At 36.0% G+C, this 19,136-nt stretch overlaps 1 protein-coding gene across 18 annotated transcripts in view; it reads left to right on the forward strand.

Moving 5' to 3' along the window:
- Nucleotides 1-19,136, forward strand: part of IL1RAP (interleukin 1 receptor accessory protein) — a 145,666-nt gene that overhangs the window by 87,611 nt on the left and 38,919 nt on the right. For 17 of the 18 annotated variants that reach the window (NR_157352.2, NR_157353.2, NM_001167931.2 and 14 more), the window contains 3 exons: nt 2,433-2,718; nt 7,300-7,486; nt 18,580-18,745. Coding sequence is in view for 16 of the 18 variants with exons in the window: in NM_001167931.2 (NP_001161403.1) it covers nt 2,433-2,718; nt 7,300-7,486; nt 18,580-18,745 (639 nt within the window). In the remaining 2 variants the exon portion in view is untranslated. Of the gene's footprint in view, nt 1-2,432; nt 2,719-7,299; nt 7,487-13,592; nt 13,660-18,579; nt 18,746-19,136 lie in introns of those variants that run through there. The other variant, XM_017006348.3, reaches the window with a different exon arrangement.

A 19,136-nucleotide genomic window follows, 5' to 3' on the forward strand; every position in this document is an offset into this window, starting at 1 on the left:
TCACTTGTATTTTTGCTTCTGAGTCTGTATCTTGTGCGGCTCAGCTCGTCCAGGCCGGACTTGCTCTTGTACCTTTGGTCAGTTGTGGAAAGCCAGATAGCCATACTTCTGGAGGTGGGCCAGCTGCCAGCTGGGGTGTCTCAGCTGTCCTCTCTGTGGTCTCTTATTTATTAATATGCTTTTGTGGACTTGTTCTCATAGTGACAACAGAGTTCCAAGAGAAAAAGCAAAATCTTTTAACTCTTAAGTTTAGATCGTCACACACCACACAATCACTTTTGCTGCATTTTGTTTGCCAGTAGAACTCACAAGGACAGCCCAGATTTGATGGCTGGTGAGATAGACTCTTGATTGGAAAACTTACAGTTTCAAATTGCAGAGGATGTGGAGATAGGGGAAAGGGAAAACTAGGGCTGTTTTTGCTGACTCTGTATTCCAGAGTTTTCAAATGATCGTTAAAAATAATGTTTGATGATAAAAATATAAAATGGGTATACAGCTCAGAAAGAATTTAAAGAATTGAGTGACCTTGTGGAACTAAGCTCCTTTAGTTCCTTACTGTAAACAAATTTTCCCAGTTCTCACGTGTAAGCAAACAATTTTCAACTAGTACCTAAAAACTCTCATTCAAAAATAGCCCTTCTATATTACTAAGAAATGATTTCCAATGCAAGCTTTACATTTTATAATCATTAATTACTTATAAAATGAAAACATATTATTTAAATTTATAAGACATTTCAAAAATCTTTTAACACTTAGCACTTTACATATTACACAAAAGAATAAAATGATGAAAAATAAAGCATAAACTATCAAACATAAGAATATATTCCATTAAAGTAAATTTGCATGTGGAGATAGTGGAATTAATGTAAGTTCAAGGAAAAAAAGAAACTATGGAATTTATAATGGTTAAAGAAAGCTTTTTTACATGTTTTTAGGTTGGATATTGGTGTATGGCAAATCACTATTCCATTGGATGTAATTAAAAGAATGATGTAACTCTTTTCTTTCAAAATGGCATTACTTATGACACTAAATATATCCTTTCCAATTATACTTGGCATGAGAAGTTTTAGATGTCAATGGAAACGTAGGGAAGATTACAGAGTTAAAAAAATACATACATAAGCATGTGTATGTGCATATGTTAGGGACATGAGGAAAAAACTACTTTAAGGTGATGGTTTTGTGGTCCGCAGGACTCCATCACCCTGACCTCTGTTCACTCTTCATCTGGTGACTTCTAGAGCCCTCCATTCAGATATCACTCTAAAGAAAATAAATATTTTCTTGTTTTCTTAAAATAAAGAAAAAATTCTTTAAAAGAAGTTTGTTTTTTTTTCTGAGTAGATGAGTGATTACTTTTCATTATAAAGAATAAATTATAGAAGCCATTACGCACAAGGACAGTGCAGATTGGAGGGGTGGTAAGATAGACTCTTGATTGGAAAACTCACAGTTTCAAATTGCAGAGGATGTGGATACAGGGGAAAGAGAAAACTAGGGCTGTTTTTGCAGACTGTATTCCAGACTTTTCAAGTGATCGTTAAAAATAATGTTTGATGATAAAAATATAAAATGGGTATGCAGCTCAGAAGGAATTTAAAGAATTGAGTGACCTTGTAGAACTAAGCTCCTTTTTTATTTGACTCTGTCATTGAAACTGTAGCACCTTTAGTTCTGAATGAGTATTCCACCAAGGAGTATTACTGAGATCTCTTGATTTCTTGAGGTCTACTGTCCTGCTGTCCAATAAAGTAGACAGTAGACATATGTGGCTAGTCCAGATTGAGATGTAAGTGAAAAATACATTGAATTTTGAAGATGTACCACAGAAAAAGAATGTAAATGTAAAATAGCTCATTTTTTTATATTTTGGATATATTGGGTTTAACAAAATATTAAAATTAATTTCGTCTGCTTTGTTTTACTTTTTTAGTGTGGTAACTGAAATGTCTAAAATCACGTATGTGTGTTGCATTATAATTTCTATTGGACATTGCAGATCTAGCCCATGAATCAGAAGATCTAGAGCAAACTGGGAGTCCTTTCTCCCATTTGCCCAAGGATTGTCTTTTTCAGTTACAATTTCCTCCTTAAACCATTCTCTGTTCCACAAAGTGAAAAAACACTTGATGTCTTTCTTAGGTGAAACTTTCTCCCATACCTTGCAGGGCTTAACAGGGTCAAGCTATCAGATCAAATCATTATTCAAGAGATACTCAGAAAATAATAAATAATGGGGAACAGCAGTTTCTTCACACCAAAGGTGCCTACTGTATGCAATTATTAGAGGGAGGCTGGAAGATGACCAGAGAAAGAGGTTCTGGAAAAGACCGGGTGAACTGAGGAGAAGGTGTGTTCTTTTGAGGCCTTTGTTGTAAAATGACTCATCTGCCCCTTTCTTTCTTTTTTGATTATTCCAGAACGCTGCGATGACTGGGGACTAGACACCATGAGGCAAATCCAAGTGTTTGAAGATGAGCCAGCTCGCATCAAGTGCCCACTCTTTGAACACTTCTTGAAATTCAACTACAGCACAGCCCATTCAGCTGGCCTTACTCTGATCTGGTATTGGACTAGGCAGGACCGGGACCTTGAGGAGCCAATTAACTTCCGCCTCCCCGAGAACCGCATTAGTAAGGAGAAAGATGTGCTGTGGTTCCGGCCCACTCTCCTCAATGACACTGGCAACTATACCTGCATGTTAAGGTAGCCTGATTCTTGGCAGTGGCTTTCTCTTTTCCCTTTAGTTTCTGGGCTCTTTTCCGGATGATCCGTGTGCTAGGAAGCTGGGGAGAAGTCGGAAGCATTTAGATAGAGTTTAGTGAGGTAATTGTCTGCAGCTTAGCTGAAGGGGTCTGAAGGAGGTATGCAGAGAAATTGGTTGTGGCCCTTAGAATGTTCTCCAGAGGTAGTTCCTTCCCAGACCCTGAGACATATCAAAGTTGTCCGAAAGTGGAGCCTTGTTATTAATCCCCTCTCACCACACCGGTTCCTGCCTGCCTTTATGCCCCACCTGGAGACATCCATTTCTCCAGACATTGAACAGGGCAGAGAATAGAGCCCATTTGTATCTGTTTTTCTTGGCATCTTTCAAAGTACTTGGCACAGAAGAGAAACTCAGGTGCATTGTGTGATGCACAATGCCTCCCAAATATGTGTGATGTGATGCCTCCCAAATATTATTTTACTTTTTGAGTGTGGCAACTGAAATGTCGAAAATTACATATGTGGTTCGCATTATCATTTCTGTCAGACACTGCACATCTAGCCCCCAAATCAGAAGACCTAGAACGAACTGGGAGTCCTCTCTCCCATTTGTCCAAGGTTTGCCTTTTCAGTTACAATTTCCTCCTTAGAATTTTGTCTGTCATAATATTCTCCCAAATATTATTTTGGGAGGCATGACATATATGTATGACAATGCTTTTTAAACTTCTACCAACTTTCCCCTAAGAAGCAAGAGAATACCATATCTCTGGCAATCTAAGGATATAATCCAAACAATTTACCATGACTGTAAAATTTCTTTTCAATCCACTTTTTTTTCCCTTGAAAGTTTTGTAGATTTTATATTTTACTCTTCAGTATTCCTCTTTTTTTTTTCTGCATTAATGTTGTTTTTGGGGAAAAAAACAAAAAAACAAAACAAAACAAAACAAACAACTTCTAAAAACTGAGGCCTCTCCACAGAATAGCCCTTTTCAGGGTTAATTATTTGGTTACTTTTTACTCACAGTCACTTTTTAGCTGCCAGGCTTGCCTTTGTTTTCTAAACTCCCATCCGGGTTATTTTTTTTTCTTTTAACGACTTCCTGCTATTTAACCGGTGTGTGGCTTTGCTAGGGCTGCAATGACAAAATACCACAGTGTGGGTGACTTTAACAAACAAAATTACCTTCTCACAGTTCTGGAGGCTGGAAGTCCAAGATCAGGGTGTTGGCAGGGTTGATTTCATTCTTGATGCCTCTCTCCTTGGCTTGTATATGGCCATCTTCTCTCCTTGTCTTTACATGGTCTTCCTCTGTGTGTTTGTGTCTTAATCTCGTCTTCTGATAAGGATGCTAGTCATATGGGATTAAAGACCCCCTTTATGACCTCATTTGAGCTCAGTTATGTCTTTAAATGTTCTGTTTTCAAATAAAGTCACATTCTAATGTACTGTGAATTAGGACCTTAGCATATAAATTGGGGTTGGGTGACACAACTCAGTCCATAACAATAAATAATCACAAATGTTTTTTCTCTCATGGAGAGTAACTACTCCCTGATGGAAAACTATGACTATGCTTTGGTAAATGTAAGCTATGTTATGATTATGTGAAAAAAGATCTCTTTTCTATCACAGAAAAGCCTTTGGATCACTGTGTTCTTGGGGGTTGCAGGTAAGGGGGATCCCTGTAGCCTCTGAAGGTCCTTCTGAGGCTTTCATTGGACACTTGAATTTTAATGGAGTGGACTTTAGACTGGTATATGGGTTTCTGAGGATCCTGAAATACTCATGTTGTCATTATTTATGTTCTAATACAACTTGGTAGAAGTTAAAGCAGATTATAGTGGAAAGAGCATTAGGAGAAGACAGAGAAACCAGGCCATCACTTCCACTCTGCCACTACTTAGCTGGTGACCTTAGGCAAGTCCTGTCCATGTCTGAGAGCTGTGGTATCTACGTCCACATAGGAAGAGAGTTGGCATACATGCTTGATGAGCTCCTTTTTTTCTTTGATAACTGTTCATCTGTTAACATTTCCCAACGGGAAGAAGTCATCAGGAGCTTTCTGTTTAACTATGGTCTCCACTGTGTATCTTAGTGCTTCAATATCAGTTTTACTTTTTCCTTAATTACTTACTACTTGCCTGTAGATCTTCCACAAACTTTTCTAATCTTCTTTTACATTATAGGAGTAGAGCTGCATGACTATTAAGACCTGCATATACCTTTAATGTTATTTATCAACTTTCAGATTGTCACCTCTTCAGTTTACTTCTCTATCTTCCATGTTCCTAAAGCAAATCTAGAATTGAAATTGTCTGGTAGGAGCACTACTAGGTTTCCTGTTTTACTGAGGAAATGTCGAATCTGAGAATGACCTTAAACTGAAACATGTAGAACCATAGGCCTGAATGTCTTTAAGGCCATAAAGTTAGTTTCGTCTTTCAGTATTTTATTTATATTCTTGCCCCAATACTGTTCAACTTTGGGAGCTAAAAAAAAGTCGGTTGAACCACTGTTCTTCATATTTTTTAAAATCAGAAAATATATCCTTAAACTTAAATTTACTTTCTATAACTTCCACCTATAGAATCTGTCTTCCACGTGGCAGATGTTTTGTTATTTGTAGGTAGGGGTCATGCCTACCACTCCCCCTTGCCACCTTCTGAGCGTTGTCACAAGTCATCTTTAACACCCCTCCCTCCCTCTTTGAGAGTGCATACCCCACCCCTTCCACTATATTTAGTCTTTATTCATAAGTCATTTTGGTACCAGATAAGCCAAATAGGTGTTATGTGATGCCTCCCAAATGTTATTTAGACAAAAATCACAGAAATGGCTACACATAGACTCCTTATCCCATCACTGTAAAAAATTAGTTGTTTTTATTATTGTATGTTCTTTTTCATGTTTTCCTATATTTAGACACAAGTTTTACATCCATTCCATTTATTTAATAACAAATATTTATTTAGCAGTTACTGAAAGTTAAGACACTGTACTAGATGCAATTTATGTAATAAAAAACATAAATAGCGTTGTGGGACTTATATTTTACAGAGGATAAGCGTACGTATCTATAACATAACAATCTAATTTTGAGCTATAACAAATTTAATAAAGGAAATGTCCAAGGTGCTCAATAAATGACAGATCAAATTTAGATATGAGGTGGGAAAAGATAACAGAGAAGGCCTGCATGTGAAATGGAGGGGGTGGGGGAAGTAAGCCCTCCAGGCAGACGGAACAACGTGTGTGAACATTATAGCACCAATGTAATTCCCCAGTCATCCTAAGGAATTGTTATGTGTTTGTTTTTTTCCTTCATGCCTGATTGTTTGTATACATTCTCACAACAACTTGGAATGATTGTACCACAGGTTTCTTGATAATATTCCATTTGTCACATTTTCTTCTATTGATTTTAATGTTTTCCTTGCCGATATGGCTCTGGATGGGCCATTTTGACTATTTGCTGTCTCTATTCCTCCTTTTCTATCGTTCTATCATGTGACAAAATATCCAGACATAGGATTGCTAGGGCAAAAACAAAGGCGTTTTATGATCCTGAAAACATAGTTTTTCCCAAAGGTTGCTTATACCATTATTGACTCTGCATAAATATGCCATTCATGCCTCTGCCTTACCAGCACTGAGCATTATTGAGAATGTTTTAGGTGTTACATATATACACAGTTATATTTTGCTGTGTTGAACAGCAGAACAGGGGATATGTTCTGAGAAATATTTGTTAGCTGATTTTTGTCATTGTATGACCATCATAGAGTATAGTTACATGAACTTGGATGGTAGAGCCTACTACACACCTAGGCTATATGGTATAGTCTGTTACTCCTAGGCTACCAACCTGTATAGCAGGTTGTGGTACTGAATACTGTAGGCAATTATCACACAGTGGTAAGGATTTGTGTACCTAATCTGTCTAAATATAGAAAAGACACAGTTAACATACAATATAAAAGATGATAAAAACGGTACACCTATGTAGGGCACTTATCATGGATAGAGCTTGTAGGACTGGAAGTTGTTCTGGGAGAGTAGGTGAGTGAGCAGTGAATGAATGTGAAAGCCCAGGACATTACTATACACTTTTATTTGTCTGACGGTGCATAGGTTTGTTTATACCAGCATCACCAAAAACGTGAATAATATGTTGCCCTATGACATTACAATGACGATTACATCAATAAACAATAGAAATTCTTGAGCTCTATTAAAATTTTATGAAACCACCATCACATATGTAATCCATCATTAACTGAAATGTCATCGTGTGACACATGACTATTTATATACACTGACAAACACACACAGGATCACATCTGAAAATATACTTTAGTACATTAATAGTAGTTAATTAATTGTGCCTGTTTTTTTATTCTGTGATGTCAATTCGTGTAGGAAATGCCTCCACTACCATTTTATCTCTTACATGAACTTACATGTATAAATGATGTCTCCGTATGTAGCCTGGCTTCACTTAGTTCATTTGAATGTGGTTGCTCTATGAAATCAAATGCAAATACTACCCATTCATTGTATATTTCTTTTTTCAGGAACACTACATATTGCAGCAAAGTTGCATTTCCCTTGGAAGTTGTTCAAAAAGACAGCTGTTTCAATTCCCCCATGAAACTCCCAGTGCATAAACTGTATATAGAATATGGCATTCAGAGGATCACTTGTCCAAATGTAGATGGATATTTTCCTTCCAGTGTCAAACCGACTATCACTTGGTATATGGTAAGGAAAATTAGACTACATTTTATTCTCTCTAATGGCTTATAAAATGATAATGCTTATTTGCTGAGTTATATTTATAAGCAAAGGTGTTTCTCTTCAGATTATCTGATCTATTCCGTAATAGCTTTATGGAAGTATTTCAGCACGTCCTCATTTTGTACCATTTTAAAGGAAGTGGTGCACAGTACTTTGTCTCAGGCCACTATTTCTGAAATTATTCTAACTAGAATACCAAAACTACCTTATTTCTGTTAACTTCATGTGAAATACATTTTAAGAAATGCTGCCCACTTCTAGTTCCTGCTTAGTGAAGTCATAAGCTGTTAATTCTTGTGGTGAATTTCAATTCCTTGATTAATCAGTACTGCATTTTATTATTTATGTGTGTTTTTTTCTTTGCCCTCATTTGTGAGCACTGTCCATCTATGGTCTTTTCCACATCCAAGGGATTTGGAAAATGTTTCATCAAAATATAAAAGTGTTGGAAGGTAGCGCTTGTAGCAGCAGCATAGCTTTTGTATCACTTCAAGTCTCCACATACACCAAAGCCGAAACCCCACGGCCAGAATTTGCAACATAACTCAGTGACTAGTTATCCATAGGAACCACCTTTGATAAAGTTAACTGAGACAAGCCACCAACAGCCTAAGCCCATATGGGATCAGTGTTTGTGGGGAAGGAAGCAGATGGAAGTAACGTGGTGTCTGTCAGACTTGACAACAGGAGAACGCCAAAAGAGCCAACAGGTACTCACTGGAAAGTGTGATGAGCCAACGTGAGACCAGGAGCTGAAATTGGGAGAGGTTTTGCTCTCTAATAAGGGGTAGTGCAAGAGACCTATAAGAAGAAGCTCTGAAGGGGTGGGAAAAGTTGTAGTTCCTCACAACTCTGAAATATGACCAGCCACGTTGAGGAGAAGCTACTGTGAGTAGAATCAAAAGTAAACTGGATGAGGACAATATATAGGAAGGAAAGAGAAGGACTGGTGAAAAATGGATCAGGAGAACAAAGCCAGGACGTCTTAAGACCAAGACACCATTGTTTTCAAAAGATATCTTGGTGAAGTTAGAAAATCCTTTTCTATTTTAAAATTCAGAAAAAACTACTATTTCCTAAGTGAGCTAAATGACATTTTAAAATGATACAAGCTGTGAAAGAATAATAAGAATTAGAAATATCCAAAAATTATATATATTATATAACTCCATACAAACTTAGAAGAAAATAAATCATTTTAGAAATGAAGATAATCTAAGAGGAAGATCACAGAATAAAAAACACAATAGATAATACCTTAAGATTAGTAGAAGGTGAAAGGGAGAAAAAATTAAAATTAAAAAAATGACAAATACAATAAGAAAATTAGAATGGCTGTAAGAATATCAGATAAAGTAGACAGTGAGGATTACCAGAGATAAAGATGACCTTTCATAATAATAAAAGGATCACTTTATCAGCGAAACATAAAAATAACAAAAGCTTGTGTGCTTAATAACAATGCTTCAAAAACATGCAGCAAAATTTGGCAGAACTCCCGAGAGAAATAAAAAATTCCACAAACACAATTTGTTGTAAATTTCAAAAGCTGAACATTTTAAATTCTGTCTCTGCTTAAGTTGTTAATGATACAATTTGGGAGTCAACTTGAAGAGTCTTCTGTTGGCCAAAGATGAACAATTTGAACCGAAATAATTTGAACCTAATTGCAATGGTTTAAATCCTATGAAGTCAGTTTAAATTTATAAGTTTATAATGACATTTCACAAAATTTAATGGGTTACATTTGGATGATGATAGGAAATCAGTTTATTATCTTGAAAACTGGTAAAGGAGAATAATCAAGTATTCATTCTGGTTTTCCTAGAAGACATGTAACATTGGGTAATGAAGTGTTGTAGAGAAGTGTGTTTTGTAAAGTGTTTCTAATAGTAAATGAAAATTTAATGATCCAATTAGAATTATCATCACCTTGCAACTCTCAATAGATTAATAAATCTAGGCATCTAAGCATCAATGACTGCTAACATCACAAGAGGAAAAACCATCAGACATGTTTCTTCTGATAAAAGAAGAAAATATTACATATTGATTCATATTACCAAATTAATTAAACCTGAGTCGGATTAAGCCTTTGGATCCCACTGTCATTTTGCAGGAGATATATAAATAACATAGAAATACATTGAACTGCAGCATGAATATGTCATCCATAAAATCCAGACTATGTGAAACTCTATGGGCCAGATGTGCTGGGTTTTTCAAAAGATAAATTGTAAGAAAAGGAATGTCATGAAGAGGGACTGTATAGATTAAAAGAAACATATAAGACATTTAAAAAGTAGATAGCACTGTAGCATCTAAGCATGCATATATAGGTGAAAAGTATATAAATAAAAACAAGGAAGTGATTTTACTATAAAAGTATAGATAGTGCCTACTTTGGAGGGTAGTAAAGGAGGTGTGATTGACATGGGCCGTGACGAAGGCCTTCAGGAGGGACTGGCAAAGTTCCTGGACCTGACTGATGGTTACAAAGGCCTTTGCTTTATAATAACTCATTAACTCTTAGATGTGTTTTGCATGGTTTTTTTGTATGTGCTTTATTTTACAATAAAATGACTAAGAGGGATGGAGGGAGAGAGAGAAGAAAGGTAGAAAAGGAGTGAGGAAGAGAAAGAGATGCAGAGACTGATTTAAGAGATTTAACCACCAATTGCAATGAATCAACTTTAGTTGGATCTTTTTCATTTGAAAAAAACTATAAAGCAAATTATGAAAAGATCAGGGAATTTGGAACATACAATACTAATGTTACTAATAAATTATTACTTTTTAAACTTGATAATGGTACTGTAGTTATGCTTGCAGAAGGAGTTTTCTTTTTTGGAGATACTCAAATATTGTTTAAAATAAAATTATATGATGTCTGTGATTTGCCTCAAAATAATCTTGGGGTGCAGTGAGTAGCTGTGCATGAAATAAGACATAGTCTCAATTAATACTTGTTGAGGCTAGTAAAGATACAGGAGCTCGTTGTCCTCTCTCTGATTATAATTTTTCATGGTAAAAAACCTAAAAGATGGTTAAAAAATAATATTAACAGTTTTACATCAATAAGTGTAATATACCTTCCAGTTAAAAAAAAAAGTTTATTTACCGTGCAATCTAGGTTTTAATCTCGAACCTTATTTGATTTTTTAGTTTTGTTCCCATACACATCCTGCCGTTTTCTCATCTCCTTTTTTCCTCATGCATTTCCTCTGCCTAGAATGTCCTCCCTTTAGAACAGACCAAATTGTACCACCTTTATTAATTGTTCCTTGTTCCCTCCAGCTGGAAATCATATTTCTCTCATGTATTCCTGTTTATTTATACCTGTTTCAATATTATTTTTCACTTCTTTATTTTTTTAGTCATTCATTCATGACTACAGATAGTCCTCGATTTACTATGGTTTGACTTAAGATTTTTCAACTTGATCATGGGTTTATTGGGATAAAACCTCATGGTATGTCAAGTAGCTTCTTATGATTTATGATGGGGCTATGGTTTCTACTGAATTTTTATCACTTTCACATTATCATAAAGTGGAAAAATCATAAATAAAACCGTCATAAGTTGGGGACCGTCTGCTGTGTTGTGAGAATTAAATGCATTTTTGACTTAACCATATTTTTGACTTATGATAGGTTTGTTGGTATGTAACTTTCATCATAAGTTAAGGAATATCTGTATACTAGCTGAAGATTAACTGTGATCAGTGCAATATGCCAGGGGGTTGAGGGAACACCATAATGAATAAAATATATGCCCAGAGCTGTGTAGTCCCAAATGACCTCATAATTTAATACAAATAACTTTGTAAATACAAAGAATTTCTACTCTTATCAAAATGTAAACTTCTAAGTTTCATAAGAGTGACAAGGAGAAAATACTGTTGGTTTTAAGGAGAGAGAGATATGTATCCTAGAAGACAGCATATTTCTTGAGGGCAAAGCTATGTAATGTCTTACTCTGCATCTCCAGATTTCTGGTTTTCACGAAAGGATGACATGGTGCTATTAACCAAGGTATGAAGTAACAGAGGAGAAGCAGGTTTAGGGAGTAAGTAATGGGTTAGGTAATGCCATATTAAGTTAGTTGCTGATGTCTGTGAGACATCTAGCTGGCGGGTGGCAGTGACTAGCAGGTAGTGGTTACGTGATTATGAGTCTGGAGCTTAGGAGAAAAATCAGAGCTAAAGACAGAAAATTGGGTGCATTCATGTGATAGTTGAAGCACTTAAGAAGACTAAATAAAGTGAGAAGAGAACTGAGCTAATGCCATACTCTGGAGATACTATTCATGGGTAAATGGAGACATAAATTCTGAGAAGGAGACAGAAAAAGTCACAGCTGTAAAACAATTACCATGGCCAATATCCAACCATGCACAGGTGACTAAAAAAGGCAAACAACATGGCCAATATGGTGAAACCCCCATCTCTACTAAAAATACAAAAACTAGCCGGGCATGGTGGCGCACACCTGTAGTCCCAGCTACTCCGGAGGCTGAGGCAGGAGAATAGCTTGAACCTACAAGGTGGAGGTTGCAGTGAGCTGAGATCGTGCCACTGCACTCCAGCCTGGGCAATGGAGGGAGACTCCATTTCAAAAAAAAAAAGACAACAACCAGTCATGTTTTCTCTTATTTGATTAAGAAGATTGCTAATAATTTCTGATATATTGCTTCCTGTTCCTCTACCTTTGGGTAATCAACTGACACCTTTAATCCTAAGACTTCTGCCATCTTGGAAACAAAACAAAGGTTCTTGGTCACTGCATCCTCCTGTCTCTGTACAGCAGTGCTAACTTTGCCTTCTATTTTCTGCCTTTTACAATCATCCCCAAGCATCTACCCGGATGTCTTGGTCCTTCTTCAGCAATTCTTTTTTAGTTGTTACCAACAGAGGTTCCTACATCTGTTGGTTCCTACCTCTATGGATCTATCTTTTAATCCTCATAGACTTATTTGCATTACTAAAAGAGACATGGTAAAGATGTTCTCTTTTAGTAATGCAACTAAGTCTATGAGGATTAAAAGATAGATCCATAATAATAAGTTTCAGGAAATTTGCTTTCCCGTTATCTGAAAGATGAAAGCTGCTAATCTTAAGAAAGAAAGAGGAAACTAATATTTCTTACATTTCAGTAATCACACGGCAGCGTGCTGTGTGCTTTATGTTCATATGTAACACCAGCTCTGCAAGGGAGATACCATATTTTGACAGATTAGGAAATGGCGATTCAGAGAGATAAACAATAACAGCTAACATTTACTGAACACACGTATTGTTCCAAACGCTTGATTTTACTTAATTCTGTCAACATCCTTATGAAATAGGCTGTCATGTTTTCCCCATGTTATCGTTGAGGAACCAAGGTATAGCGTGGTTGAGAAATATTTCCAAGGCCACAGAACTAGGAGCTAAGATTCTAACCTATGTAATGTAATGTGTCAGGAAACCACACTTTTACACTTTCATATATAATTTACTCAAAACAATGCAGCTACTGATGGGAGAGTCTGGGATTTCAGGCCAGTTCTGTGTGATTACAAAAACTCTACTCTCTAGAACTGATGTAAGGAGGGTGGTCCAGCCTTTACTTTTGGAGCTTAGGACATTTTGGAAGGGCAGGGTGATCTTTGAACACATACTGGGGTGTGGACTGGACCGTGGGACGTAGGTGAACCTGTGGATAGAGGGCCCTGAGAAATCGGAGGCATCTCAGACAAACTGAGATTACAGGAAACAGAAAACCAAATGTTTACATTTCAGAATTGCTGAAGAAATGGGATAGGATTGGATTGTCCTCCTCCACATGCCTTCTCTTTCTCCTCTTTTTTTTTTCTGCATGGCGGAAAAAAATTCTGCCATGAATTCACAATTCTCTAATTCAACATTAGGTATTCTAGTTTAACTCCTGTGAGTTAAACTGATGTTCAGCAAATATTTGTTGAATAAGCCAGGTTTTGTAACTAGTCTGGAAAGCAAACCATAGTTTGTAAGTGATTTACAGAATTTCAAACAGCTGGCTTATAAAACAAATTCTGAAATATACCATGTGTATAAATGGGAGACTGCCTTGTTTATTCACATAGGAACCTCCAAACATATAGAAGTAAAGACACAGGTAATGCAGTCCTTTTGTTGTTGCTTTTGTTACTGATGAGATTAATTTAGAGTCTTTGGCAGGCCATCCTAACTTTCATATTACTGTATTAATTCTCTTCCTTATAGTTTGATATTTAAAACTTTATCTTTTAGAGATGCTTATAAAAGCATAGACAATTTTCTCACCGAGGATCAAAAGAACCATTTTATTGGGTGTTTTGTAGATTACATTTATGACAGCTGCTGAACTACTCTCACCTGCTATTTATCAGAATAGATAATGACTTTTCTATTATCTTTGTGGTTGTAACTTTCCACAAAGCTAGTTTTCCTTGTAGCCACAGTGATTACTAAAATTGATATATTACCTCCACTTTTCATTTTTATTGTGGTCAAGCATTTTTTATAACTATCTCTTAGAAAATAGGAAAATATTTGCTCTTCCAGACTAAGTGCTATTAGGAAAGAACATTTCTGAAAACGTGCCTGGCTTGGCCTTCTTGTTGGCATAGAGATATTGTTGAGAAGTTAGTTCAAGGTCTGTGTAGTAAGCCTTATTTTTTAAATGCCTGCTTCTATTTGATTTGACAACATAGATTGGTTCTTTAACTCTTTTCTTTACCTACACTTCCTATATAGTGATTGGATTTTCAACCTTTAGTGTGAGAGAGTATGTACCATATTTTCTTTCAGAGCTATACACATATAATTCTATATGTGTACATATATGCATATACAGATAACATTTGACGTAAGGTTTAGGGCCTCTGAGGACTCAAGATTCATGACTTAAACACAAAGCCAAATTCAAATAGCTATGAAGTCTTGAAGCCACTTCAGGCCATATAAATCACCTACTCTGTACTTCGATAGCACTTCATTCATATCTTGTCTTTATTATTCTAGAGATTTTCTCTTTTTTCTGTAGTAAGTAGTGACCACTCTTTTCCTGTCTCTTTCTCTTTCCCTTCAATACCAAGCACACAGCATAAAACTGAGCTAACTATATTGTACTTAGAAATTGATTAAATAATTGAATGAATTAGCCTGCCCTGTAAAATTCCAGAGAATAAGCACCATTTGTGGTTTTTTTTTTTCTGGCAATTGTATAGCCAGCTCCTAACCCAGTGCCTGGCCCATAGGAGGGACTTTGTAAATATTTGTTGTGTAATCATTGCATGACTTAATTCTGTTAATTGGAAGTGACTAGTTTATCTAACTCTTCTAAGACTTCATAGCAAAGTATGTGTTTTATACCAACTTTATCTTGAATGCAAAAACTTCAGTAGATACTACTAACAGTTCAAACCTTGTATCTCAATTAAACTCTTTGTATCTTTACATCTACTTTCCCTTTCCATCCTACAACCCACCATCCAATGTCTTATATTCCAAATACTCATCAGCACTTATACACTCGATGAGCCCTCAGCTCCATGCCTTTTGGGTCTTGGCTTCTCTCATTCATACCTTTGATCAGGCAACACTAACGTGTCGAGCATTTACCAAGCACCAAGTATTGAGCAAGTTTCCGACCACGCAGATATGGAACTTAAAAACCCCACTGTCCCTCATACAAGTTAATTTTCCAAAGGAGGAACTCTGCATGAAAACAGAGCATTATAATAATGTAGTTTAAGTACTAACAGTCAGGGAAAAAAATTAAGACAATACAGGTGAGTTCTTCACGCTTTTTCCTGTGCCTGAAGTGTCTACTTCCCATGTCTACCTTCTTCCTCAACAGATGTTAATATTCTTATCATTTAAGAACCAGCCCAAATCTTTCTTCATTAAGTTTTTCTAAGTTGTTTTGTTTTTATTTCATACTCCCTTGACCCTAAATGCCTTTTATTGTGTTTGTTGCAATCCTTCATTAGACCATGAATAACTATAAGTTAGAATTGTATCATTTCCATTTTGGTGCCTTCACACAGTTCTTTACACATTGTTGGTTTCTTGAATGGAAACACTTGTTCTTACTTCATCATGACATTCCTCCACTGCACCCTTCCCCTCCCCACATGATTCGTTTCAGTTGAAAGATCCCAAAGTCATTTCTTGTGTTGTTCTTTACCTATATGTTGTGGTCGGTTGCCACAGCAACCATAGCATGGTTGAAAAATCGCTCTTCTATTTAACTTCTCTCTTTTGAATTCAGAATGAGGAACTAATGGGTCAACTAGGATTGTTTGTCTTCTAGTCAGACAAGTGTTTGCTTTATTGTGGAAATTCACTTACTGTTCACTCATTTCTTATATTTTAAAGCAAGTTTCCTATTCTTGGAGAATCTAAATCTTTTTTTATGTTTGTTTTCTTCTGGATTCCAAATAAATGGTTTTGAAATCATTATAACATTTTCAGGTTTTATTTTTATCAACAGTTTATTATGTTTAAAATTATCCTATGTGTCTCAGGTACATGTGTTGTGAAGGGTCTAGAGACAGAGTTGCTGATAAGAAAGAGAGAGCTAACCAGACACACAGCAGGTTAATGTTCATAGACATTTGTAGTGTAACAATGCCCTGAATTACCCTCACACACGTATTAGAATGTAAAATATTCCCTTTATTTCTAAAATGTTTTAGGCCTAATAGCTTTGAAACAGCTATAAAAAGTTTCTTTCATCACATTCTTAAGGAAATACTGTTGACAAGTTCAGTAAAAATAATTGACTTCTCATCCTCAAAAGTGTGCTTCCTCAGTTTACCACTGATTGCAGGAATTAGCCTGTTTTAAGTGATAGAGCCACATCACGCTTTTCACTCAGGCTGGCTCCAGGGATGGCACAGGTTCAGGGCTGCTATATGGAATGAAGAGACACTATCAGGTGAAATTAAAAGCAAGGACTTTGAAACAAGTAGATCTGAATTCAAATTCCAGCTTTAACACTGTCTGGTGGTATGACATTGACAGTTACTTAACGTTTCTAGGCCTTGTTCATTCATCTATAAAACGGAGGTAAAAGCATTACAAACTTTACATGTTTGGAATAAGGATCAGACGAGACAGAGTATATGTTAAGTGCATGTCTCAGTATAATTTTTTATAGCCTCAACTCACTGCTGAGGAGAGGTATTCATTCTTAGTTAAGAAGCTGATGAAAGACCGTTATTCGGCTTTCTGGAAAACTGAATTTCAGCTCTCTACTGTGTTATCTAGAATATCTCTGTCTCATTTTTTCCGTCTATAAAATTACAGCGTATTTAGTCTGATCTGTCTACTTCACAGGAGTTTCAGAATAGCTAAGCTAACAAATGAGGGGGAAATACCTTTGAACTGTTTAAATGAAAAGTACCACAAAAATAAAATAGTTCTATTGATACTGTAAACTCAATTCAAACCAAATCTGACATAAACTTATAAGAATACAGGCCTTTGAGACCTTATCCTTTGTGATATCCTAAGGATATTGAAATCGTTTGCTGACCTGACAAGTGTCTACAAGTATTGCTTATCTTACAGGAGAAGCTGCGTTGAAAAAAATACGTTACCCAAGCTTATAGTAGCTTCCTCTTGATGATCTTTTCCATGAAATGGAAGTTCAATGCTGTTCTTAAAATACACATTTCCTGTGACAAAGCATTACAAAATGTGCCTCAATGTAACTGTCATATTTCAAAGTACATGCTCCAGGAATTGAAGAAAACCTTAATCATACAAACATTAAAGATGAAATATGTGAATAAAAAAAATTGAAGTTACAAGCTAGTAGTAGACTCCCAGAAATTTAAAGATGTAAAAAGCCTTAGAGATAACCTAATCTTTTTGTCATAGGTGACTTATTGATATTTAAAAGAAAAACAAAAGCTTTTCTAAAAGTAAATGTTCAACATATATTTTTGTCACAGATAGTGTATTGATTTTTTTTCTCAAAAACAGCAAAAAGTAATAATTTAGCCAAATAGTGAGACTGAGAATTTGAAACAGGATTCTAGATATGTTGAATGAGATAGTTGTGGACTGAGATAGTTCAATTTCTCAATTTTAAATGTCAACAGTTATATGCAAATGTGAATTAGGAGCAGAAATACATTCCTAGATCTTGATCAGGCCCATGAAGATATTTTATTTTTAGTTTCTGAAATCTGTGATACTCAGTTATAAAAATGGGATAAAGTTGGTGGCTCATGCCTGTAATGCTAACACTTTGGGAGGCCCAGGCAGGCGGATCACGAGGTCAGGAGTTCAAGACCAGCCTGGACAGGATGGTGTAACCCCATCTGTACCAAAATTACAAAAATTAGCCAGGCATGGTGGCGCGCACCTGTACTCCCAGCTTCTCAGGAGACTGAGGCAGGAGAAGTGCTTGAACCCAGAAGACTGAGGTTGCAATGAGCTGAGATCACGCCACTGCACTCCAGCCTGGGTCACAGACTGATGAGACCCTATCTCAAAAAAAAAAAAAAGTAATAAAAGAAAAATGCAAAACAGTTTGGAAATATCTGATACAGGGAAACAACAGGGTGATTAAAAATGCCAATCAGACATCTAAATTGGGGCCTAGATTATCAGACGGAGTGACTGGAGTCCCAAATTAATATAATCAGTGAAGAAATATTATAAAAAGAAAAAGAATTGCTTTCTAAATAGCAGGTCTTGCAGTTGCTCAAGTTTCCTTAGTCATTATTTCAAAACTGTAACTTTGCTTTACTATCAACATAGGATGCCCAGAATTTGATCCTGAGACAGGAAGCCTGTGTTTTTGAAGTCACACTTTAGTTTAGAATTTTAATTTCTCATGATCAGAAAAGATAATGACAGGTGTTTCATTTATTCTTCGCAGAAATCTTGTCAAATACTTGACCAAAATAGTTTTATAAAAACTGCAGCATGAATATTTCGGTGTTCTGTGCAAAATTAGATGTGAGTGTGCGTGTGTTTGTATGTTTTCTATGCATGTATCTAAAAAGTAAACTTTTTTTTTTTTTACTTTTTCTAGGGCTGTTATAAAATACAGAATTTTAATAATGTAATACCCGAAGGTATGAACTTGAGTTTCCTCATTGCCTTAATTTCAAATAATGGAAATTACACATGTGTTGTTACATATCCAGAAAATGGACGTACGTTTCATCTCACCAGGACTCTGACTGTAAAGGTAGTAGGTAAGCATGATTAGTGTCCAGTACACACAACAAGCATGTGATCATCTTGTTATGGTTTTTAATAGTTTATTACACACTAGTATGTAAATTGTATAAGAAAAGTGATTCATGTTTTTTGTTTACAGTACTGTCTCTAGAGCCTTCAACAATTCCATGCACATCGTAAGCATTCAGTAACTGTTGGTCAACTGAATGAATATGTGAATAAATGAATGAAGTAAAGGTAGTTTGGGGAGGGAAAGGAGCACCAGACAGATCTGTGTTCAAATTCTGTCACTGCCACTTATTAGAAACATGACGTTGAACAAGGTCCCTGTCTTTATCTGTACTCTGGAACTGCAATTGATTGAGAATATTTAAAAAAATATTCATATTGTATTAATGCAGTTTC

This window comes from Homo sapiens, chromosome 3, assembly GCF_000001405.40.
Source record: "Homo sapiens chromosome 3, GRCh38.p14 Primary Assembly".
Taxonomy (NCBI): domain Eukaryota; kingdom Metazoa; phylum Chordata; class Mammalia; order Primates; family Hominidae; genus Homo; species Homo sapiens.